Source organism: Homo sapiens, chromosome 12, assembly GCF_000001405.40.
Source record: "Homo sapiens chromosome 12, GRCh38.p14 Primary Assembly".
Classification (NCBI taxonomy): Eukaryota; Metazoa; Chordata; class Mammalia; order Primates; family Hominidae; genus Homo; species Homo sapiens.
The window spans coordinates 96,388,806-96,414,468 of NC_000012.12; the positions used below are offsets into that span (position 1 = coordinate 96,388,806).

The following is a 25,663-nucleotide window of genomic DNA, read 5'->3' on the forward strand; positions in this document are numbered from 1 at the left end:
ACTGGGGAGGCCTCGGGAAGCTTTTACTCATGGTGCAAAACCAAGTGGGAACAGGCATGTCACATGGCGAGAGCAGGAACAAGAGAGAACAGAGAAGAAGCTACAAACTTTAAAACAACCGATCTCACATGAACTCACTCATCACCAAGGGGATGGTGCTAAGCCATTCATGAGGGATCTGCCCCATGATCCAAATACCTCCCACCAGGCCTCACTTTTTTTTATTATTATTATTATTATTTTTTGAGACAGGCTCAAGAGAGCCTTCTGCCTCAGCCTCCTGGGTAGCTGGAACTACAGGCATGTGCCATCTCATGCTCAACTAATTTTTTTTTTTTTTTAATTTTTTTGTAGGCATGGGGTCTCCCTATGTTGCCCAGGCTGGCCTCAAACTCCTAGGCTCCAGTGATCCTCCTCAGTCTGCCTCCCTAAATGCTGGGATTACAGGCATGAGCCACCTTGCCCAGCCAAGAGTTAAAATAACGAGCTTATAGTAATATGGTTATTATAAGTTATTACTGAAGTAGGCTTTATGAAAAGAAAATTGAAAACATATAACCAATTCTAAACTTTATACAATAGAAACCTAAGTTGCAGATCTTTTCCAAAAAATTGTACCTGAAATAAATGTTTCAACCATTTTATAGCTTCTTAGGAAGAAAGGGGATGAGAGCAAAATGGAAATGGAAATGATATCTGGAGAAGGGAGGGATCAACAAAAAAATCCATGCTCACCAACTTATGGGCAAAAATTATTGCAACACACAATACCCCACTGTTTCTGAAATGATAAATGTTGGTTAATAAACCATGATCTCAAAAGCTCAATACAAAAAGTGTTTTAAGAAGACTGTGTAAGCTGAGGAATTTAAAAAGGCACTGACTCCCACAAATTATGAAAATTCATTTTAAATGTCACACTTCAAACAAGACGTTACCAAGCCATAATCTCGAACTAATATTTAAAATAAATTTATTACTTATAACACACCTACTATAGAAGAGGGTTTTTTTGTTTGTTTGTTTTTTGTTTTTTTTTTTTTGAGAGGAAGTCTCACTCTGTCACCAGGCTGGAGTGCAGCGGTGTGATCTTGGCTCACTGCAATTTCCACCTCCCAGGTTCAAGAGATTCTCCTGCCTCAGCCTCCTGAGTAGCTGGAATTACAGGCATGCACCACCACACCCAGCAAATTTCTGTATTTTTAGTAGAGACGGGGTTTCACCATGTGGGCCAGGATGGTCTTGATATCCTGACCTCATAATCCGCCTGCCTCAGCCTCCCAAAGTGCTGGGATTACAAGTGTGAGACAGCGCGCCCGGCTGAAAAGAGGTATAATTTAAAACTCAATTTTTTTTTTTTTTTTGAGATGGAGTCTTGCTCTGTCGCCCAGGCTGGAGTGCAGTGTGGCGATGTCAGCTTACTGCAACCTCCACCTCCCAGGTTCGAGTGATTCTCCTCCCTTCAGGCACGTGCCAACACGCCCGGCTAATTTTTTTGTATTTTTTAGTAGAGACGGGTTTCATCATGTTGACCAGGGTGGTCTCGAACTCCTGAGCTCAGGCGATCCACCCACCTAGGCCTCCCAAAGTGCTGGGATTACAGGCATTTTAAAAAAGCCTTGGCCAGGTGCGGTGGCTCACGCCTTTAATCCCAGCACTTTGGGAGGCCTAGGTGGGTGGATCACCTGAGCTCAGGAGTTCAAGACCAGCCTGCCCAACATGGTGAAACATGGTCTCCACTAAAAATACAAAGATTAGCCAGACACAATGGCGTGCACCTGTAGTCCCAGCTGCTCAGGAGGGTGAGGCAGGAGAATCGCCTGAACCTGGGAGGTGGAGATTGCAGTTAGCAGAGATCGCACCACTGCACTCCAGCCTGGACGATGGGGTGAGACTCCATCTCAAAAAAAAAAAAAAAAAAAAGACAGAAAAGAAAAAGAAAAAAAATCCTTCAAGTTTAAAAGTAGACCATGGAACAGTTTTTATTTAATTACTGTAATTCCATTTAAAAACAAGGCTGGGTGTGGCGGCTCAAACCTGTAATCCCAACACTTTGGGTGGCCAAGGTGGGTGGATTACCTGAGCTCAGGAGTTAGAGACCAGCCTGGCCAACACTACTAAAAATACAAAAATTAGCCAGGCATGGTGGCACACGCCTATAATCCCAGCTACTCGGGAGGCTGAGACAGGAGAATTTACTGAACCCGGGAGGTGGAGGTTGTAGTGAGCTGAGATTGCACCACTGCACTCCAACCTAAACGACAGAGGGAGACTCCATCTCAAAAAAAAAAAGAAAAACAAAGCTTCTAGTCAACTGTATACATAAACTACCACAGCAGAATGAATAACATTAAATGCACTGTTTGATCCTTTGAGTACAATTCTGCACTGCAGTAAGCGCATTTAAGCCAATACTACACAGTTAAATAGCTAGATTTCATTAAGGACGATTTTGGGGCGGGGGGTTGTTTTGTTTTTGATTTTTTTTTTCTTTTTTTTTTTGAAACAGAGTCTCACTCTGTCACTCAGGTTGGAGTGCAGTGGTGTGATCTCAGCTCACTACAACTTTCACCTCCCGGGTTCAAGCAATTCTCATGCCTCAGCCTCCCAGGTAGCTGGAATTACAGGCCTGAGCCACCACGCCCGGCTAATTTTTTGTATTTTTAGTAGAGATGGGGTTTCGCCATGTTGCCCAGGCTGGTCTCGAACCCCTGACCTCAAGTGATCTGACCGCCTTGGCCTCCCAAAGTGCTGGGATTACAGGCGTGAGCCACCGCGGCAGGCCAGTTTTTTTCGGTTAAACCAAATTTTACTCCTGATACACTGACCAATATTTTTAGACCTTCAGAAATGAGTACTTTCTTTACATATTAACATTATAATTTTATATTTCCATTTTGTCTAAAAGACAACAATCTTTGAAGGCCACACCCCTTTTCTCTCCATTTTCACTAACAAGTTAGTACAGCTCACATGCAATTAAACAGTCTCAATAATGCCAAGTTACTGTCCCTCCAAGTTGGCCTACAAACTGCTCTAGATTGCTCTCACACAAATACCACCAAAACTGTATAGCTCCAATATTTGAAACCTTTTACACTTTTTATTATCTACTATATCAAAATGTATTCTTGATTGCTTCTAAGCCTACTCTGACCTTAATTTACCAACTCGGTGTTGTTCCTCCTAATTCCATCACTTTATTCAATTTAAGAGTATGATAATACGGGAAGAAATACAGAAATGAAAAAAAACACGGCCTCTCTGGAGCACAACGCCAGCCAAAAGAGGGAGAGACCTGAAAATAATTAATTACAACATAACATATTAAGTACTACAGTATACATAAATACTATATAGCAGAACCACCATAACTGTCAGAATGGAACAAAGATCACGTTGGAGAAAGAGACGTTTGGGCTTAAAAATGAGAATTTCTCTACAAGTGTCATAGCATTGTAATATCAACATACCAGTTTCTTCATCTTTGTATCCTAGCCCCTACCATAGTGTCTAGTACAGAGTAGGCAGGTACTTCAGACATGGATGGATGAATGGACGGCAGTACGGAAAAAAGGATAAAATAAGATACATATATAAACATAAAGAAAGAATATGGTTAGATTAAAATGGGACAAAACTGGAGCCAGTAAATCAGATAAGACATTCCAAAACCCTTACGTAAGAAAGTGACACAGGAAAAAATAAATTTAAAAGATATTTAGGAATTAAAATTAACAGGACTTGGTGTGACTAACTGGACTAAGGGGAAATGAGCATAACAGAAAAGCGTAAGAAAGAAGCTGCCAAAGTTTTTGGCTTACGTGACTAGGCTGACAGTGGTACCATTCACTGAAATTGGGAACAGAAATAGGGGATTCGAGTTCAGTTTAGGTAAGGGAGCACTAAGGCAATATCGAGTAGGAAGCTGGAATGCAACTCAGAAAAAGAGGTCTAGATTAGAAATAAAGAGGTGGAGATTATTGCATATGGGTGATGAGAACAAAGCCCTAAATATAGACCAGATTGCCAGGAACACATAAAACCTGGAAAGAAGGCTGTGGACAGAATACTCAGACAACCAACATTGCTGTTATCTTATATGTTACAATATTGCCACATTAAATTATATTGTTACAACACAGATAACGGCTAATACAATATTGAGGACGTAACAAATGCTTTAAAAATACCAACTGCAAACCTGAGTTAATTGAAAAATTAAATTTATTAACTCAAATTGAGACATAAAGGACCACTTCTTAAAACCAATTTAAGGCCAGGCACAGTGGCTCACACCTGTAATCCCAGCACTTTGGGAAGCTGAGGCGGGTGGATCACGAGGTCAGGAGTTCAACACCAGCCTGGCCAAGATAGTGAAACCTCATCTCTACTAAAAACTACAAAAATTAGCAGGGCATAGTGGCAGACACCTGTAATTCCACCTACTCGAGAGGCTGAGGCAGGGAGAATCGCTTGAACCCGGGAGGTGGAGGTTGCAGTGAGCCAAGATTGTGCCATTGTACTCCAGCCTGTGAGGCTCCGCCTCAAAAAAAAAAAAAAAAAAAAAAAAAGCTAATTTAATAGGTCAGACTCAAGGTGCTTAAGTCTAAGGAATCCAATTTTACTTCAGAATCAGTAAAAAATCTGGGCACAGTGGCTCACACCTGTAATTCCAGCACTTTGGGAGGCTGAGGCAGGCAGATTGCTTGAGCTCAGGAGTTCAAGAACAGCTTGGGCAATATGGCAAAACCCCATCTCTACTAAAAACACAAAACTTAGCCAAGACTGGTGGCGCTGAACCTGTAGTCCCAGCTATTTGGGAGGCTGAGGTGGGAGGATCACTGGAGCCCCAGAGATCAAGGCTACAAGAAGCAGTGATCACACCACTGCAATCAACCTGGGTGGCAGAGTGAGACCCTGTATCTTAACAAACACAAACACACACACACATACTCAATGAAAAGCTTCTTTTTCCACCAGAAATAACATTACAAGTCAATAATATAAAATACTAAAATCTAAGTTGTTATACTTCAAAAAATGTTTATTCTAAAATAATACTAAAAAACACATATTAACTAATTTAAAGAAGAGCAAGTCTAAATTTGGAGTGATAAGGGCTTCAATGCTGTTACTTGATAGTTTCTCACAAGTATAGACCAGGTGCAGTGGCTCACACCTGTAATCCCAGCACTTTGGGAGGCCAAGGCAGGCAGATCATGAGGTCAGGAGCTCAAGACCAGCCTGGCCAACATGGTGAAACCCTATCTCTACTAAAAATACAAAAATTAGCTGGACATGGTGGTGCACGCCTGTAATCCCAGCTACTCGGGAGGCTGAGGCAGGAGAATCACTTGAACCCGGGAGGCGGAGGTTGCAGTGAGCCAAGATCACGCCACTGCACTCCAGCCTGGGCAACAGAGTGAGACTCCATCTCAAAAAAAAAAAAAATTTCTCACAAGTATTTACCAACGTTGTTTACATTATTGAATATTAACACATACTAATAACAAACATTACCCATCAATTATAAGAATAGTAGATTAATATGACTTGAGAAGGCCAAAGTTAGTAACTGAACTAGAATACAATGAAAGAGAAATTATCTTTGGGTCCTTTTCCCTTGTTTACAAACATGTACACAAAATGTAGAGTATTCTTGAACATATTTACACTAACAAATGCATAAAAAGAAACAAAAATGTGTTATTAAAAGGTAGAGAAGCACGGGTACGGTGTCTCATACGTGTAATCCCAGCACTTTGGGAGACCGAGGTGCACAGATCACCTGAGGTCAGGAGTTCGAGACCAGCCTGGCCAACATGGTGAAAACCCATCTCTACTAAAAATACAAAATTTAGTTGGACGTGGAAGCTCACACCACCTGTGGTCCCAGCTACTCCGGAGGCTGAGGCACGAGAATAGCTTGAGATCACGCAACTGCAACACTGCACTCCAGCCTGGGCCAACTGAGGGAGAGACTCCGTCTCAAAAAAAAAAAAAGAAAAAAAAAAGGTAGACAAAAAATATTTATTATTTTATTTTTATTTATTATTTATTCAAAAAATCTATAATTTTTTTCCCCCGAGACAGAGTCTTGCTCTGTCGCCAGGCTAGAGTGCAATGGTGCGATCTTGGCTCACTGCAACCTCTGCCTCCCAAGTTCAAGCAATTCTCCTGCCTCAGCCTCCCGAGTAGCTGGGATTACAGGCATGCACCACCGTGCCCAGCTAATTTTTGTATTCTTAGTAGAGACCGGGTTTCACCATGTTGGCCAGGCCGGACTGGAACTCTTGACCTTGTGATCTGCCCGGCTCAGCCTCTCAAAGTGCTGGGATTACAGGCGTGAGCCACCATGCCTCGCCCATATAAATGTTTTAAATTTTTTTAGCATCTTGATTTTTAATTCATTTTGAGCAACATGTCCTACCTTACATATTTTATATACTGCAATCTTTTAATGTAGTAAAACCAGTTCAATGTACTTTAAATCGCATTTTGATGAGCTTTTCTAATATCTCACTCATTGTTTATAGAGTGCAGACAGTAACATTGACTTTTTAACATCTCATCCTCATGGAGACAGTGTAGAGTAGTGGTTTGAATGCCTAAACTGGAATGTCAATGTTACCACAGAGGTCGGTCCCTGGAAACAATGACTTAACCTAAGGTCTTTGTTTCTTCATTTGAAAACAGGCAGAATACCTATATGAAGCGCTTATTGTGAGGATTTCACAAAATAATACTTAGCATAGTGCCTAGTAGAGGAGGTAAATAATTAACGTTAATTTCTTTCACAAAGTTTATGTTATGGACTGAAGATCTGTGTACCCCCAAAATTCACATGTTGAAGTCCAAACCTCCCAGTGTGATGGCTATTAGAGGTGGACCTTTGGGAAGTAATTAGGTTTAGATTAGGTCCTAAGAGTGAGACCCTCTCATGACGGGATTTGTGCCCTTTTAAGTAGAAAAGAAAAAGACATCCTCACCTCTCCCTCCCCTCCCTCCCACTTCACCTGCAGACAGGGAGGAAAGGACTTAAGAGTGCCCAGGGAGAAGACAGCTGAGAGGGCAGGTGCTTAGCTGATTTCAGACTTCCAGCCCCGGACCTGTGAGAAAATACGTCTGTGTTTTAAGCCACCTCAATGTATGGTATTTTGTTATAGTACCCCAAGTAAAATAAGGTGATATCAAAAAATATTTTCAAAAGGAGACTTTGGAGAGCAAGATAATTTTCACCTCATCCCAATATGCCATAGATCTGTAAATCTACATCCTCAAACAGTATTCAGTATTGCAGGTTACTGCAGAACACGGTAACATTACTTATTAGATTTACTGGTAGATGTCTATTGATTTTCCATGTTGGCCAACAGGGAGAGGCAGACAGGCTGGGAACAATAAACTACACTGAGGTATATTCAATACACTTCTCTGGCCCTTGGCAATTCCTCTTGCCAGGTCAATATTTTGCAGATATCAAAAGTAACCACCAACTAACTATATTGGAAGCAAAATAATGACAAAGAATCCACTGATGACAATAAAAATTCTTAAAAGCCAGTCTAACTGGTCCTCTCCCCATCAGTTCAAAGAAATTGCCAACATTGTAGATTGAATGCTAGTGAACTACACTAGGTTCGCTATTACAGGCAGTTTTTTTAACTTCAAAAATGCTACATAAAGCACATTTTTAAATGCCATAAACCTATTGTTTATCTTCTGCATTTAAAATGCAAAATGCCATTATCACTTTATGAAATATACTTTAAATACCGATTTCCTGTTTAAAAGTTTAGGCAAAAATTATCCATTCAAAATTCAAAAGAACCTAAAACTATTCATCCTTCCCATGTATGAAAACTGAGACAATTTTTTAAACAGGTAAAATTCCCTAGAGAATATAATTTTTACAATATAGCAATAAAGTAATTATCCATCCTGAAAGTCTAAAACAAACAAAACAAACAAACAAACAAAAAATACAAAGAACATCCTGGAAATCTAAATGCCATGTAAAAGAATGCTAGCCCATGACGGTAAAATTTTCTAAAGACTAGGAAACATCAATAAAGATTCAAAATGTAATGTCTTATAAATATTCAGCATTAGTAGACAATAACAAAGAAAATCATAGGGTAAAAATTTTTGTGTTCACAGATAACTGTTATAATATTAAGGGACATCGTCATCTCCACTTTTGAATAGCTACCCCAGTTGCCATTACAGCTTCCATTGTTCAAAATAAAATAGTTGCATTGTTTTTCAGTGAAAGGAAAGAAGGAAAATATTGCTGAAAATAAGGAAAAAAACAAGCCTCAACAAAGCAACAAAATGATTTTATATGCCATCTAGTTTCGCCATAATTGTAGGACTGAACTGGTATCTGAAAACTAAATATATCAACAAACATATACGTTAAAATCTGCGCTTAGTCAACATAGCTATCCCTGTGCTACCGGGCAAATAAAATTTAAATTTTCTATTTTTTTTTTTATTAAAGCAATGACTTATTAGAGACTACTGGTATATGAAGCTGCAATACACATGGGGATCAATTCCTCCAATTTCATGTTTCCTTACTATGTATGTATCTCTTTTTGTTTTTTCATTCTGGTAACCAGAGTACATATGACAGGCTGCATTATTTCAAATACCTAACACTGAAAGTTACTTTCTGGCCTGAATCTAAGGATGAGAATGATACATTTTATAGAAGCTTCTTTTAGTACAGCAATAGGCAAATTACGATATTAACAAGACTTTAATTCTACATTTACATTTTTTTCTCATTGTAAATGTAATGTGAAACTTATAAAATACAGGAAAAAAATGTTTAATCACCAATAAATCCCACCATTCGTAAACCTTGCTACTTTTTGGTAGATTTCCATCTAGTAACACTGAAGGTTCAATTTTCTAATTCGATACTGATAAATATGCAGGAAAAAAAATCAATGGAGCCTCAATATGGCCTTTCAATAAATGTACATAAAACAACAATTATTAATTATATGACCTGTTAATTTCACAAAAGTCTCTAAAATGTTTTAAGTGGTGGAGTAGGGTAAGGAGTCCATAATTCAGACACTAGCCCTCAAACTGAAATCTCTTCCACAATGTTTGTATGTCAACCCTTTAACGGCAGTGAGCAGCAAGCTATGACTGTTCGTACAGTGATATCAACATTAATGTCTCTATATTAAACAGGCTTTGCTTTTATTTTCTTTCCATTTATACTTCAATAGTGTTTTATTTTCACTGTAAAAATAAATAATAACCTATATTTGCATAGTAATTTTACATAAGCTTAAATTCAAAGACTCCCGTTTTTTTTTAAGCCAACCATTCAAACTGTTAGTGCTTCTGGCCTATGAGATGGTTTACCAGATAAAGTAACATTCTTTATATTCCAATATTCTCTCTCATAACATAAAAAAGAATTTAAGGAATATCCCTTAGTCACATTTTCTTTTGTTCCAACCCACTGTTTATGGAAGCATGCAGATGTTAAGAGTTGCAAAAATTGAAATGACTTCATTAACAAAGCAACATCCCAACGTTTAATGTCAACTCCTCAGACTCATAAAAAAATGAAACAAAACCAATTATATTACCACTAGCAAATTTTTTCCCCTTAAAATCTAGTTTCGTCTTATTTCTAGTTTCAAGGCAAGCTTTGTCTACCCAAGGTATCAAAGGTCTTCAAATCTCATTCATTTTCTTCTGCCCAAGAGTTAAGAAAGTAAGTCTAAAACAGAACAAGCCAGATTTGTTGCTGTGATCTTCTCACACGAACGCCTTTTAAAAGAAATCTTTCAACAAAGACTCAAAAAAGAAACAGCAAAGTTTGGGGAAAGAATTGTCTGTCTTTAGGTCAAGCATTTCCTGATAAGTGACTGAAGGTCTGGCTGCCAGGAATACACTTTGCTGACCCTAGGAATGGCCAAGTCTCAAAACAAAATTTGCCTCTTCTGTATCTTGAAAGTGACCTGTTAGGACCTGATGTCAATTTGACGAAGAGGTGATAGAACATGACCAACGAGGTGTCTTTGGTGGACATATTCATGTAAAGGAGGCGAGAGCCACAGATTTCAGCTAAACGCTTTTTGCCACTTTTGCAAAAGAAAAGCTAATTGTTAACGGCCATGTGACATTATAGATCCCAGAAAAGGAAAGGGTGGGAGGAAGAGAGAGAAGTTCAAGGCAGTTCAGGGTCAGAACAAGCTCAGACATCCTGTCATTAACAAATGTTCCCCAAGCTGAAAGCAAAATACTGCTTACCCGAAAAGGAGTGGGTGAAAAGTAGGGGGAGAACGAGGGAAAAACCACAGGAGAGTCAATGTGGCAGTGTGGGGGTGACAGGAGGGAGGGAATCTGGAGCTATCCAGCTGAGTTGGGGAGCAAAAGCATCGGGCATAGCATCGGGCACAAAAATGCTGAGAAAAGCAACTGCGACGGAGACAGCACTAGGCACCCTCCTCCCCCCATTTTCCCCTCCCCATCGGTTTGCTGGGTTTCCCACCTTCCCTCTACCTCCGCTCTTGACCAACACTCCGGGGTGTGACCCGCCAGCAGGAGGCTGCCCTGATCTTTGTCTCTACCCGCTCCCACGCGCGGGCTCCTCCTCCTCCTCCGCGCTCCCCACCCGCGCACAGCGCCAGCGTCTCCAAGGAGCTGCAGGCGCCGCGACCGCCGCCTCCTCGCCCACCTCCCGCGGACCCGCGCCCCTTCCTTCCCCTCCCGGGCAGCGTCGCCTGCGCCTCCAGCTCCACCCCCGCCGAGGGGACCTTTGTGTCTCGGGGGACTTTCTGCCTCTTTCCCCTCCTCCGCCTCGCGAGGAGACCGGCCTCCCCCGCAGACCAAAGCGGCAGCGAGCACCGGAGGCGGCGGCGTCTATATCTGTCGGCGCCTCCTGGGAAGCAGCTCGCAGACACTCACACCCCACCCGAGCCCCGGAAATCCCCGGGCGACCCAAGGTCCTCGCTGGACCGGAGAGGTGACAGGCGCACGCTAGCCCCCCGCGCCGCGCCTCCTCGCTCAACTTCCCGACCGGGCCTGAGCCACCCGCGCCCCCAGTAGCCCCCGCCCCCGCCTCTGTCCCACGCAGCCTCCCGGCCCCGCGGCCGACCCGACACCAGGGGAAAGCGCGGCGCGGACGCCAGCCGCCAACTCACCAGCAAGAGCGGGGACCGCGGGTCCCGAGGCGAGGCGAAGAGAGGCGCGGGGGGAAGCTGCTCCGCGGACGCCCGCGGCGACCGGATGCAAGTCCGGGTCTCAGCGGCCGGCAGACGTGAGGCGCTTCCGAGCGCAGGCCTCCGCCGCCACAGCCGCCTTCCGGCTCTCGCCGCGGGTCCGGAGCCTCGGGAGGGGCCGCGGGTGTCTCACGCGTTGCCAAGTCCCTCGGTCAACATGGCTCCCGCGCCGACGAGCCGCGCGGACGGCCCACTAATCCCCTCGGAGCAGCCGGGCGCGAGCGCGGCGGGCGCCGACGGCGGGCTGAGACTGTCTGGCCGGGCGCTGGCTCCTTCTCCGCGGCTCTGCGGCGGCCCGCGGGGAGCTCAGGAGACTGCGGGCGGCCGCGTTCGCTCCTTGCGTGTGCGTCGCTTTCACACTCGGCGGCTGCGGATTGACGCCTCCGCCTGTTCCCCGGAGGAGAGCGAGTGCAAGAGAAAAAACACTTTTATTGAAACGATCCAACCAGCGGCGGCGGAGAAAAGCGACCGGCCGCGGGAGCTTACCCCACCCCCGCCTGAGCGGCTCGCCGGGGGCAGCGCGACCCCTGCCGGCGGCGGCGGAGGCGGGGGCGGGGCCGGCGGCCGGGGGCGGGGCCTGCAGGGCGGGGCGGGTGTCCCCGGGAAACTGCCCGCTCCGAAATGCGGGCGTCGGGGGAGCGGCGGAGGGGGCCAGGGGACCCCACCGGAATGAGTGCCTGTCCGCAGCGACTGGGGGAGAAATTATGTGAATAATTCAGCCCCTCCAACATCCCCCTGCCCCTCAACTTCCCGCTACCAAACCAAAACTCGTGCTTCAGTTATACAAGTAATTACTGTACAAGGTGTCCATGCCACAGTTCTCCACTGACTTTCTAGAGAGTCCATGTCAAAGGACCCACACTGAAAGATGTTGATGGCTGCAACTTTTCTCCTTTGTTGTGTGTGGGTACGTGGGTACTAGTGCCGCAGTCTCTCACACACACGGCATCTATTCATTTAAACTACAGTACAGTGTTTTGTATATATTATCATGTGCCCGGCAATATGCTGAGTCCTCTAAGGACGGAGAGTCTAGCTGGGATGAAAGATGATCAATAACTATCATAAAAATCTGAACGTTATGAGCGGAGAAATACAAGGTGCTATGAAAACAGAAAGGACTACTGTTGCACGGGTTAGGTTTTGTTTTCTTGGGGGAGGCGGGCCGCGAGAGGTTGGCCCAGTTTCTGCAACTGTTTTTACTTTCTCCTTTCCCAGAGGCTAAAAGCTAGTTCAGGAATGAACAGCAGAGTGGCAGTGAAGACAAACTAAAGTAATACTGACCCACTTTTTTCCACTAATAAGGATAAAAGCATAAAGTTAAAACAAACTTAAACCCCTAGAGGGAGATAATGAGAGGATTGAAAGAAGAGAGTAGGGACCGGATGTAGACAACATAAACAAGAAAAAAAAACCCACATAAAAGTCCTGTGAAGTGAGATAAATTTTTTTTCCCATGTTAACACCCGGAAGTAGAAGCTGCTTTGAAGTTTCAAATCACATTATGTGCTAAGAACTTCGGGGAATTATCTTTTTGGATTTAGGGATGAATCCTTTCCCCCTTAAAAATGCTGCATGCTGACATCTTTCTCTTATTTTGTTTGGCAAAGTTAAATGCATCTACAGTTATATCCAACGATCGTACGTGTCAATCAGGCTTTTCCCATGCCTCTAAAATTACCAGGACCCGTAAATTAGCAACAATTATGCTCTACGCGTATTTAACACTTGTTTACCAACCAAGAATGCAAATATACATAACAAGCTTTCCGTTAGAACAAGTGCGCTTTGTTTAAAAGCACTGTTAATGAGGCTTTTTAGATTTGTCCAAGTCAAACTTGGAACTTTATAATATAGCAAGATGTAGCATCATTTTCAGAGTTCTTTTTAAGTTAAAGAGAAACACTGATATTTATACAAGGCCTATTTATATGAAAGGATTTTCATATACTTGCCTCATCTAAATTAGTACTTTAGTAAATATCAAAAAATCACCAAAAAAGGGAGTCTATGAAATGGCATTCTGAGTTTCAGCATTAATACTTATACCTTCATATCATTAGATTAACATTACTCCATGAGAAATAAAAAGATTATTCTGTCTCATCCAAAGCACCCTCTCCTCTTTCTACATCTTTCATTAGCATAACAAAGAATTCGTAATTGGGAGGCTGAGGTGGGAGGATCCATTAAGCCTGGGAGGCGGAGTTTGCGGTGAGCTGAGATTCTGCCACTGCACGCCAACCTGGGTGACAGAGTGAGACACCGTCTCAAAAAGAAAAAAAAAAGACGAATTCATAATGAAAACTTAGGTGATTATTTGATTGATTGGTTTGTTATTTCTTTTTTTTTTTTAAGACAGAATTTTGCTCTTGTTGCCCAGGCTGGAGTGCAGTTGCGTGGTCTCAGCTGACTACAACATCCGCCTCCCAGGTTCAAGCGATTCTCCTGCCTCAGCCTCCCAAGTAGCTGGGATTACAGGCATCCGCCACCACGCCCGGCTAATTTTTTGCATTTTTAGTACAGACAGGGTTTCACCCTGTTGGCCAGGCTGGTCTCAAACTCCTGACCTCAGATGATTCACCCTCCTCGGCCTCCCAAAATGCTGGGATTACAGGCGTGAGCCACCGTGCCTGGAGGATTTGTTCTTTCAATGAAAAAAAAAATTACAGATTGCACAATATTTATTTCATTACTTTTCATATTTATTTATTTATTTATTTATTTAAATGAGATGGAGTCTCACTATGCCGACAGCCCAGGCTGGTATTAACTCCTGACATCAAGCAATCCTCCAACCTCGGCCTCCCAAAGTGCTGAGACTACAAACAGGAGCCACCACCCCTGGCCTATTTATTTATCTGTTTATTTATTTATTTTTAGAGGGAGTCTTGCTCTGTCACCCAGGCTGGAGTGCAGTGGCATCATCTCAACTCACTGCAATCTCCATCTCCTGGGTTCAAGCAATTCTCCTGCCTCAGCCTCTTGAATAGCTGAGATTACAGGTGCCCATCACCACGCCCGGCTAATTTTTGTATTTTTAGTAGAGGCGGGGTTTGGACATGTTGGCCAGGCTGGTCTCGAACTCATGAGCTCTAGTGATCCAAAGTGCTGGGTGAGCCACAGCACCCAGCCCCATGGCCTATTTAATTACTTTTCTAAACCGATTTAAAATTTGGCCAGGCGCGGTAGCTCACACCGGTAATCCCAGCACTTTGGGAGATCGAGGCAGGTGGATCACTTGAGCTCATGAGTTCGAGACCAGGTTGGCCAAAATAACAAAACCCCATCTCTACTAAAAATACAAAAATTACCCAGGCGTGGTGGCAGGAGCCTGTAATCCTAGCTACCCAGGAGGCTGAGGCAGGAGAATCGCTTGAACCCAGGAAGTGGAGGTTGTAGTGAGCTGAGATCACACCACTGCACTCCAGCTTGGGTGACAGAGCAAGACTCTGTCTGAAAAAAAAAAAAAAAAATTATATGTAATATTGTGAGCATGTTAGTTGTTTTTTCCGTAGGTTGTAATATAGGCTTTTTTTTTTACCTTGTAAAACTATGTTAAATTATAAAATTACTTAGAATATTTCCCTAACTGTCATTAATAGATATTCCATAGTGCTTAGTGGAGGAGAAAGATTGAGGAAGAATTCCAAGATCAAATCCACTTGAGGAATGCCACATACTTTATCTCCCTTTTGGAAATTCACAATATACATTTACGTATTTAAGGCTCTTAGAAGTTCTGAGATTGAAAAATAATCTTCTTTCCAGTGAAACAAGTATATCCCAAAATGTTTTCACCATAGAATAGCTATATCATGTGACATATATAAAAATATTGAGGGGAGAAAATTTTGAAGGTCATTGAACTTTGGACAAAGAGAGTTAAATGTGGTAAGTCCAGAAAATCTTTGCTGGGATTCACATTCTGAAAATGACACTGTCTGGGAAACAAATATGAAACTTTCAGGTAAGATACAAACAAGAAACACTTAAGCTGGTTTTCAATTGCTCTACATCAGTGGTTCTCAGCAGTGTTACCTGGGAATTTCTTAGAAATGCAAATTCTCAGTTCCCGCTCCAGACCAACTGAATCAGAAACTCTAGTGTGGGGCCCAGCAAACTGTTTACAGAGATTTTCTAAGATTCTGCTGAACAATAAAGTTTGAGAATCACTGCTCTATACAACATCAATACATAGCTTTGTTTACAAAACAATTTTCCATATGTCTGAATTTCTGGACTATTTCTAATTATTTCATATTCCTTAAAAATTCTCAAAGAAATTAGATTACTGACCAAATAGAAAAAACACTTTTTGTCTGGGTTCATTCCCTGTTTTACTAGGCTGAATCATATAGGAAGTCTGTGTGTTTGTTTGCTTGTTTTGCAAGAAGAATAAAGCAAATTAAGCTAAGGACAGCAATCAACAATTTTCCCCCAATAGCAAAATAATTTTACATTTGGCAAAAATGAAGCTGTAGGCAAGAAAGGAGTTTTGTCAAAGGCTTTTTAAAACCTGCTTCAAAAATGAAACATCTAGCCAGGCCTTAACATTTATTTTTAATATTTTGTACCATCCCAACACCTGCAAAACAGCTATATACCATTGCATAATGATACAGTTGTACCCTGTCACTTAAAGCTTAATGGTAGAGATTTTACAGAGCAGATCTATTTGATATTATCAGAATACCTCCATAGATTTACAAGTTACAAATTTGGGGAGGGAAAATTTCTTCCCTATTTACATGTAAAATTTCAAATTTGGTGTACCAGATTTAACCCTAGAGGATGAATAACATCTGAGACATTTGGTCTCGTCCAGGGAGCGTTATAAAAAGCTTTCAGCAGAGTGATGTCATGTGTCCTTACAAGGGAAATGAATCCAGGAACCAAACTGAATCTTGGCAGTTAAGGGGGACAAAATTTTCAAACATTTTATTTTGAAATGAAAGTTTTCTCTAGTTGCTGACAAAATGCTTAGGGAGAGTTAGTTTCCAGGCTTCCAGTAAGACTGCATACACGTCTCTATTATGAGATTAAGATGGGATTAACTAGTTTTTTCTTCATTTCTTTTTTAAATGTAATATCAATACCTCTTAACTAGATTGATGTTCTGCCTCTGAGAAAAACCAGATGTGGGTCTTAATCAAATACAATACATTTAAAGTTTATTTGAGCTTTTTAAAAAAAAATGAAGCATAACATGAAGCCATTGTTTTTTGTTTTTGTTTTTGTTTTGTTTTGTTTTGTTTTGAGATTTTGAGATGGAGTCTCGCTCTGTTACCCAGGCTGGAGTGCAGTGTCACAATCTCGACTCACTGCAACCTCCACCTTCCAGGTTCAAGCAATTCTCCTGCCTCAGCCTCAAGAGTAGCTGGGACTACAGGTGCCCGCCACCACGCCTGGCTAATTTTTGTATTTTAATAGAGACGGAGTTTCACCATGTTGGCCAGGCTGGTCTCGAACTCCTGACCTCTAGTGATCCACCTGCCTCGGCCTCCCAAAGTGCTGGGATTACAGGTGTGATGAAGTCATCTTTAAGCTTTAACAAATGTCTTGCTTAAAAAAAAAAAAAGTTGGAAAGTGGGAACTGGGGCAGTATAGGTTTTCCCTTCTTAAGCAGGTTGAGAAGAAGAAGAATGTGGCAACTGGCCATTTCCCCAGGAGCTTGTGGGAATTATCACTATCTTTTTTCATCTTTTCATCTTTTGTTTCTTTTGAGACGGAGTCTCCCTCTGTCACCCAGGTTGGAGAGCAGTGGTGTGATCTCGGCTCACTTCAAGCTCCGCCACCTGGGTTCTAGTGATTCTCCTGCATCAGCCTCCCAAATAGCTGGGATTGCAGGTGACTGCCACCACACACAGCTAATTTTTGGTAGAGGCAGGATTTCAGTATGTTGGCCAGGCTGGTCTCAAACTTCTGACCTCAAATGATCTGCCCACCTCTGCATCCCAAATTGCTGGGATTACTGGCGTGAGCCCCCTCGCCTGGCCTTTTTCATCCTTTTTTTTTTTTTTTTTTTTTTTTTTTTGAGACAGAGTTTCACTCTTGTTGCCCAGGCTGGAGTGCAATGGTGCAATCTCGGCTCACCACAACCTCTGCCTCCCAGGTTCAAGCAGTTCTCCTGCCTCAGCCTCTCAAGTAGCTGGGATTACAGGCATGCATCACCACGCTCAGCTAATTTTGTATTTTTAGTAGAGATGGGGTTTCTTCATGTTGGTCAGGCTGGTCTCAAACTCCAGACCTCAGGTGATCCACCCGCCTTGGCCAACCAATCTGCTGGGATTACAGGCGTGAGCCACCGCGCCTGGCCTTTTCATCCTTTTTTTTTTTCCTTTTTTTGAGATGTAATTTTGCTTTTGTTGCCCAGGCTGGAATGCAATGGCGTGATCTTGGCTCACTACAACCCCCACCTTCCGGGTTCAAGAGATTCTCCTGCCTCAGCCTCCAGAGTAGCTGAGATTACAGGTGCCCACCACCATGCCCGGCTAATTTTTGTATTTTTAGTAGAGACGGGGGTTTCTCCATGTTGGTCAGGCTGGTCTCGAACTCCTGACCTCAGGTGATCCACCCGCCTCGGCCTCCCAAAGTGCTGGGATCACAGGTGTGAGCCACTGTGCCCGGCACCTTTTCATCCTTTTAATGGGAGAAGGGAGGGATGGTTTGTCATCTTTGAAATCTGGCCCAGTGATATGCTTTTAGGTAAGCTGATAGGACTGATTTGTAGTCTTCTAGTATTAGTAGTTCAGAAGTGCAAATTTCAGTAAACTAACTTTGCCTTGCCCTAGCCTACATGACTCCCAGGACCATCCTAGAATTGATATGATCTGTGAAGAAGACTAGAGCAAATATTTGGAATATAGATATTGGAAAAATGGAAAAATAAAAAACGAGGAAGAGGGGAAAGAAGACAAAAAAGGTAAGAAGCAGGGAAAAGGGAGAATTAAGTCTTATACAAGTTTTATTTCAGCAATAAGAAAGCTGCAGATGTTGTTAGTGTTAAGCTTCATGTAATAGAAAGAAAGAGTAGAAAAGCATAAATTAAGCAGGTCAGGGTTCTAGCCCTGAAGGAACATTGCATAGTAATAGGGCTTTGCAATCAGTTGGATTGGATGGGAGTCCTAATTTTGTCACCATGAGATTTTGCTAAATTACTTAACTAAAAGTTTCTCCATATGTAAAATTGGGTTAACAGTTTACTTGCCAGGTTGTAAGGATTAAATAAGATAATGAATGTAATGCATTGTATCTCAAGTTTTTCTGTTGTAAGTGACATGAATAACAACTCAAACAATACAGAAAGGGGATTTTGTTGTTGTGTGATTGAAAAGACTAGGGGCCGGGTGTGGTGGCTCACGCCTGTAATTCCCAGCACCTTGGGAAGCCGAGGTGGGTGGATTACCTGAGGTCAGGAGTTCGAGACCAGCCTGACCAATATGGTGAAACCCCTTCTCTACTAAAAATACAAACATTAGCTGGGCATGGTGGCATGCGCCAGTAGTCCCAGCTACTCAGGAGGCTGAGACAGGAGAATTGCTTGAACCTGGGAGGTGGAGGTTGCAGTGAGCTGAGATCACGCCACTGTACTCCAGCACAGGTGACAGAGCAAGACTCTGTCTCAAGAAAAAAAAAAAAAGACTAGGGATGGCGCAGACTTTAAGGTCATCTTAGCCAACAGCTGTCCCGATGTCATCAGAACCTGGTTCCTCTCCTTTCAGTTCTGCTTTTGGTGGCCTTGGCTCTCCACCCATTAGGTCAAAAGATGTCTGTAATATTTATAGCTCTAAGCTTCTAGGTTCAAGTCCCAAAGGAAAAAGGGAGTAACATCTTTAGTAGCACAAATATTAGCTTTATTTAGCTCAGCTTAAATCACTGACTGTCACTGTGGCCAAGGCAGATGAGTGATTGGCTAGGGCCTGGACATATGCTTAACCCCAAAGACAGGGTGGAGTCTGCCTCAGCTGAATCACATGTGCTGAGAGTATGGGAAGGGCGGTCCTCCCAAAACAAGAAACAGGTGCTTTTACCATAACTAGGGTGGTGGATGCGGGGCACCCACTTAATTAAAATGCAGGAAGCCAGGGATGAGTGGGCTTTATCACTAGCCAGATTCAGGAAGATTGTCTTTCATCTGGGCTTCTGTCTATGTGCCAACCTCATTCTTTATAAGTTCACTGACAGCTCTGAGATCACACCTTCACAGTTCCTAATCCAAGGGGAAGGAGGTCCATTTAGAAAATTCCAAGGAAAGACTCTGATTGGCCTGCATCATACTAATCAGAAGGGTCCCACCAGACTACATGGAATGGGGAAGACGCAGTTGTCCAAAGGAGTGGAGGGTGCTTCTAGCAGAAGTAACAGGTGTGGGGTGGAATGCACGACGGTCAGAAACCACTGGTGTCCACTATACATGGGTAAATGCCAAGGGCATAATCAGAAATTGAAAATCAGAGAGGGCCGGGCGTAGTGGCTCATGCCTGTAATCCCAGCACTTTGGGAGGCTGAGATGGGCAGATCATTTGAGGTCAGGAGTTCGAAACCAGCCTGGCCAACATGGTGAAACCCTGTCTCTACTAAAAATACAAAAATTAGCCTGGCATGGTGGTGGGCGCCTGTAATCCCAGCTTTTTGGGAGGCTGAGGCAGGAGAATTGCTTGAACCCGGGAGACAGAGGTTGCAGTGAGCTGAGATCACACCACTGCACTCCACCATGGGAGGCAAAGCGAGACTCCGTCTCAAAAAAAAAAAAGAGAAAAAAAGAAAATTAGAGAAAGTATAAATTTTGACAAGTATAGGAGGGCAAAACAAAAAAAGGGACAAGTGAAGGGATAAACAAGTTGATACTGTAGGATACTACTCAGCAATAAAAAGGAATGAATTACTGATACATCCAACAACATGGATGAATCCCAAAATAATTACGCTGAGCGAAAGAAGTCAGACCAAATAAAGAGCACACACTGTATGGTTACATTGTTATAAAACTATAGAAAATGCAAAATATAGTGACAAAAAGCAGATCAGTGGTTGCCTGTGTCTGAAGAAGGGAAGGATTACCAAGGCGCATGACACTTGTGGAGGATGACAAATGTGTTCTCTTTTTTAAATCATTGTGGTGATGGCTTTATGGGTGTACACTTATCAAACTGGACACTTTAAAGATGTGCAGTTTATTGCATGTTAATCTTTCGGTTAAAAACAGAAAGAGAATGGGATCCAAAACACTGTGCTGTTTAATGGCCATTTGAAACCACTGTATTATCTGACCTGTCTGTACAAGCCTGAATTTTTCAAAACACACTGTTAAAAATGTGGGCTTTCTGTAAGTATATCTATATAGAAGTCACATCGCTTAACCCATAGTTGGTTTCTAGCCTCAGGGTCAAAGAAGAGGTTAATATAAGCTATAAGTATACTTTAAAAATACTTCTTTTTTCTTTTTTTTGAGATGGAGTCTTGCTCTGTCGCCAGGCTGGAGTATAGTGGCATGATCTTGGCTCACCACAACCTCCATCTCCGGGGTTCAAGTGATTCTCCTGCTTCAGCCTCCCAATTAGCTGGGATTACAGGCACGTGCCACCACACCCAGCTAATTTTTGTATTTTTAGTAGAGAGGGGGTTTCACCATGTTGGCCAGGATGGTCTCGATCTCTTGACCTCGTGATCTGCCTGCCTTGGCCTCCCAAAGTCTGGAATTATAGGCGTGAGCCACTGCGCGCCCAGCCAAAATATTTTTTTTGACATTTTATCTCTGTAGTGCAAGAGTGTAGCAGTGGGCAACAGTGAGTGAGGCGTGCCTGAAACCTACTTAACTCTATGTAAAATATTGACCTGGTAAATCCAGGATATCCTGTTAAAGCAGACTGTAATATGCAATAAATGTCAGTTCCCTTCTCCCTCTACTTCCTCAATGTGGAAATAATCTGAAAAGTTTGAGATATTGTTCCATCTCATGTGTGTATTTAATGTAAATTTGCCTCTTTTTATATTCCTAGTCTGAACTGTAGATCATCTGTGCAATTAAAGGTGCTTTCCTTCTAGGCAGGGAGAAAATTGCCATTAGGTAGGATATCTTATTTCTTTGGGCACCCTGATACTCAAAGTCATTAGATAAATCACAATTAAAATTGTTTTCTTGAGCTCATAACAATTACTCATCCTTAAATTCTAGTTTGATTGGAAGGCATCAGAAGTGCTGATGCCTTCTGCAAATGCAAAGACATTTCCAAAGACCACTTGTGTTGTTTACAAGATCATTTTCTTATAGTGTTAAGAAAAAACACTTAGTAATGTAATCTGTTTAAAAAGATTTTTGAAGAATCGTGGTGTGTAATGAAAAAATAAAAAATAAGATAAAATAAAATAAAAAGTTATTTTACATGTTGGGATCATTCACATCATTTTAAATGAACCCACTGATAAGGTAGTCAGTGCCTGTCTGTGCATCATGCTTTATTCCTTTACTACTTTCTATCAACTGCTAGGCATGATGGAATAAAATATTTCAGGCCTTTTTTATTTCACATAAATGTTCTAAAAAATTTTAGCATGATGCAGCAGAATATAGAATTCAAAGTGGGACAGGTGTTGTGGTTCATGCCTGTAATCCTAGCACTTTGGGAGGCCAAGGTGGTAGGATCGCTTGAGGCCAGAAGTTCCAGACTACCCTGGGTAACATGCCAAGACCTGGTCTCTAAAAAAGAAAAAAAATTAGCCTGATGCAGTGGCTTGCACCCGTAGTCCCAGCTACTCAGGACATTGAGGCGGGAGGATCACTTGAGCTCAGGAGTTCAAGATTACCATGAGCTATGATTGTGTCACTGCACTCCAGCCTGGACAGCAGAGTGAGATTCTGTCTCTAAAAAAAAAAAAAAAAAATAGTGAAAGGAACCTGAGCCTGGGTTTAGATCTGGGCTCCACCATTAATTGTAAGATATTGAGAAAGATAGTTAATCTTCCTGAGCTTCAGTTCCTTCATATGTAAAATGTTTGTATCTCATAGGGCCTTTCATGAGGATTCAACATGACACCAAATATAAAAGTGCCCACCAATAATTGGCACTTTACAGGCAATGAGTAAACGTTAGTGTTCTTCCTTCCACTCCCGCACACCATGACTGCAAAAGTCATGGAAAAAAATACTTTGAAGAAAATGCATCTAGGAAGGCAGAGTTTATAATGCTCAAAAGAAGTCATCTGTCTTCTATGGAGATGCACTACAATATTTAGCAAAAAGTAAAGCAGAAAAAGAAACATTTTTTGCTTGAAGATTTGCAGCCCCATTTAGGCCAAAAAAAAAAATCTATGTTTATTTCTTAGTGTATTATTCATCATAAGTATTACCTAACATTCGGAATATGAAGGGTCAGTAATAGCTACTGTGAACAAAATACATGTCGTTTGTGATCTGAAAAGATTCTCCTGTAAGGGGACCAAAGCACCTGAACCACAGATTCTTATTTACCTGCTTTCTATAACCTGTATTTACAAGTACAGCTATAAATCTAAATTTATTTTATCGGAGGAACTCAAACAATTTTAGGATTGGAAACTAGAAGTTATCTAACTGTCATATATACTTTTTTTGAGACAGAGTCTTGCTCTGTTGCCCAGGCTGGAGTGCGGTGGTGAATCTCAGCTCACTGCAACCTCCGCCTCCTGTGTTCAAGCTATTCTCCTGCCTCAGCCTCCCAAGTAGCTGAGACCATAGGTGTGCGCCACCAAGCCCAGTTAATTTTTGTATTTTTAGTACAGACAGGGTTTCACCATATTGGCGAGGCCGGTCTCGAACTCCTGACCTCAAGTGATCCACCCCCGGCTTGGCCTCCCCAAGTGCTGGGATTACAGGCATGAGCCACCGCACCCGGCCTCATATATACTTTTCAACTACCATTTCCTTCAAGAATTCCTTCAAACAATTTATATTTCATGTCTACAATGAACCAGGCACTGTAAATAATGGAAACATGACACAGGCAATGTCCCAGTCCTCAAAGGGCTTAGTGTCTATCGGGGTGAAGAAGGTCTGGCCATAACTTAAAAAGAGCTAATAGCCTAAGATAAAAGTTTGAATATGCTGCTCAGTAGAAGAGGGGGACTTCTAGCTGGGAGAAGTGGTAGGAGTAGGAAACCAAAGCAGGTTACATTGCTTAAGAGACAAGTTGATGAGCACTTACTGGTGCCTAATTAGGAATCTAGCATTGAGTGCTATAGAGAATGCAGCAGTACCTTAAGTGGCAATCCTTGGCCTCAATGAATGCATAATATGTAGTTTGACCAAATATCTTAGCACAAAGCAGAATTTGGAAGGAAGTCAACCTATTTCTATTCGTTCTATAGCTTCTGACATATTTACTTCAAATGTTAATTGTTTATTAACAGTAAAACTACATGCAAGGTTTTTTATTTGCTTACCTGAGAAACACTGCCTTTCTTTTTGTATCTGATTCCTGCCTTTTGCTGTTTTGCAAACTGAATATCTCAGCTTTTTCCTGCAGGTCACATACTTCCAAATCAGATTGAGACAAGTCTGTATGGTTCACACAAGTGACACCAAGCTAGCAAAATACAACAGGCTCAAACTATGCTGGAATTGAGCCTGAGGGGGACTGATCAGTTTTATTCAAAACAGAGAATGAACTGGAATGAGAAGAAGCTTTAAGTAGACTTTGAAAAGATGATAGAGGAAGAATGGAAGAAAAAGTCATTAGGTTTTTAAGAACTTTCCACTTTTCCCATATAATATAAAATATTAATTTATCTCTTCCCCTTTTATCTTTTTTTGGTAAACACTTTTAAAATCATACATTAGCAACATCATAAAAAAATTTAGAAATGAAAGAAAATTGCCCATAACTTTACAACTCCAACACAGTAACTTGTATCATTTTGGAGTATTTCTTTTTAGCCTTTATTTCATATTCATATATGCTTTAATAGTATACAGGTAGATTTGTATTATGTTCTTCATTTGTCATTATCGTAAATACTTGTTCCTGTTGCTATAGAGTCTGCATGATTATTCTATTTGTTGGCTGCCTAATACTCTGTGACCTGTGTTTTGTGAACCTTCCCTAACTCCCTGCAAAGTCTTTCCCAAAACGTGCCTAGGAGTCATTGGAGTGAAGGGGTGCCACTCTTGTTTGGGGTCCTGCCCAGTCAGCTACCATATAGATCATTTAATTCCCCTTCTCCATTGCTGGGTACCACAATGTTTTCATGCAAGCGGAGTCTGCACATGCTGCTTTGAATGAAGGGTTTTAATTTTTTTCTTTGGTGTTTGCACACATTGGATTTATTTCAGATTACTCCATTTATGTGAATAAACAAAAACGAGGGAAGAAAATTTTTTCTAAGATTTTTTTTCTATATGAAGGAAGTCAATTTCTAATGCATTAAGATGCAGTGTTTACCAAAATTGGGGATGGGGGGGTGTTTATGTGCATTTTTGTGAGAAATCAGATACAGGGATGGCTGCCTCTGCCACCATTTCCCTGGATACTATTAACTTCCCAGATGGGATGTCCATTTTAGTTTATTCTCCCAAACCACCCACCTTGATTTCACCCACTGCTGCTACAAACTAAAGGATTCCTGCTTACAGTGGGGAAATTGGACTGGGAACTAACAAAGGCCGTTGGGATTCCCAGCAGTAGGTACCTGTTTTTCCTAGACTACCTTTAAATTATACTCATTCATGAAAAGAAAGTTTTTGTCCACATGCTGGGCTTAATATGAATTTTTAAAAAATATTTGCTCCTGGGTTCCAACTCTGACTCTGTCACTTATAACCGTGTATTCCTACTTAGCAAGTCACTTAACTTCTTTGATCTCCATTTTCTCATCTGCAGATTGGGATAATACTTTCTGCTTTGCAAAGTGATTGTAAGGAGGCCAGAGGCAATGCTTATATAGTTCTCAGCATCACAGCACCATATTGATATTGATAGCTAATGTTGTTATTTATTGTTCATATACTAACAGCAGATGTAATTCAAATAGCCTACCCCATCTTCGAAATGGCAGACAGGAAATACCAAGAGTCAAAATCTCAACTCTCTTTTGTTGTTTTGATCGGCAATTAAAAAGAAATTCTTGGCTGGGCACGGTGGCTCACACCTATAATCCCAGCACTTTGGGAGGCTGAGGCGGGCAGATCACCTGAGGTCAGGAGTTCGAAACCAGCCTGGCCAACATAGTGAAACCCCATCTCTACAAAAACTGCAAAAAAAATTAGCCAGGCATGGTGGTGCATGCCTGTAATCCCAGCTATTCGGGAGGCTGAGGCAGGAGAATCCCTTGAACCCGGGAGGTGGAGGTTGCAGTGAACCGAGATTTCACCATTGCACTCCAGCCTGGGTGACAAAAGTGAGACTCTATCTCAAAAAAAAAAAAAAAGA

The 25,663-nt window shown here is 42.1% G+C and overlaps 1 protein-coding gene across 5 annotated transcripts in view, besides 6 other annotated features; it reads right to left on the reverse strand.

Moving 5' to 3' along the window:
• The window catches only part of CDK17 (cyclin dependent kinase 17), a 122,215-nt gene extending 110,581 nt beyond the window's left edge, over positions 1-11,634 (reverse strand). For 3 of the 5 annotated variants that reach the window (NM_001170464.4, XM_017019407.3, NM_002595.5), the window contains exon 1: positions 11,181-11,634. The gene's annotated coding sequence lies outside the window, so the exon portion shown is untranslated. Of the gene's footprint in view, positions 1-10,528; positions 10,574-11,180 lie in introns of those variants that run through there. The other 2 variants (XM_017019406.2, XM_017019405.2) reach the window with 2 other exon arrangements.
• Positions 11,038-11,197: a silencer, noted in NCBI's record as "silent region_4742". NCBI's record gives its function as "represses an Ori minimal core promoter by ATAC-STARR-seq in GM12878 lymphoblastoid cells {active_cell/tissue: GM12878}" and the evidence as "EXISTENCE:reporter gene assay evidence [ECO:0000049][PMID:35858748]".
• Positions 11,378-11,557: a silencer, noted in NCBI's record as "silent region_4743". NCBI's record gives its function as "represses an Ori minimal core promoter by ATAC-STARR-seq in GM12878 lymphoblastoid cells {active_cell/tissue: GM12878}" and the evidence as "EXISTENCE:reporter gene assay evidence [ECO:0000049][PMID:35858748]".
• Positions 11,648-11,977: a silencer, noted in NCBI's record as "silent region_4744". NCBI's record gives its function as "represses an Ori minimal core promoter by ATAC-STARR-seq in GM12878 lymphoblastoid cells {active_cell/tissue: GM12878}" and the evidence as "EXISTENCE:reporter gene assay evidence [ECO:0000049][PMID:35858748]".
• Positions 12,398-12,617: an enhancer, noted in NCBI's record as "active region_6827". NCBI's record gives its function as "activates an Ori minimal core promoter by ATAC-STARR-seq in GM12878 lymphoblastoid cells {active_cell/tissue: GM12878}" and the evidence as "EXISTENCE:reporter gene assay evidence [ECO:0000049][PMID:35858748]".
• Positions 15,291-15,390: a silencer, noted in NCBI's record as "silent region_4745". NCBI's record gives its function as "represses an Ori minimal core promoter by ATAC-STARR-seq in GM12878 lymphoblastoid cells {active_cell/tissue: GM12878}" and the evidence as "EXISTENCE:reporter gene assay evidence [ECO:0000049][PMID:35858748]".
• Positions 18,889-18,938: an enhancer, noted in NCBI's record as "active region_6828". NCBI's record gives its function as "activates an Ori minimal core promoter by ATAC-STARR-seq in GM12878 lymphoblastoid cells {active_cell/tissue: GM12878}" and the evidence as "EXISTENCE:reporter gene assay evidence [ECO:0000049][PMID:35858748]".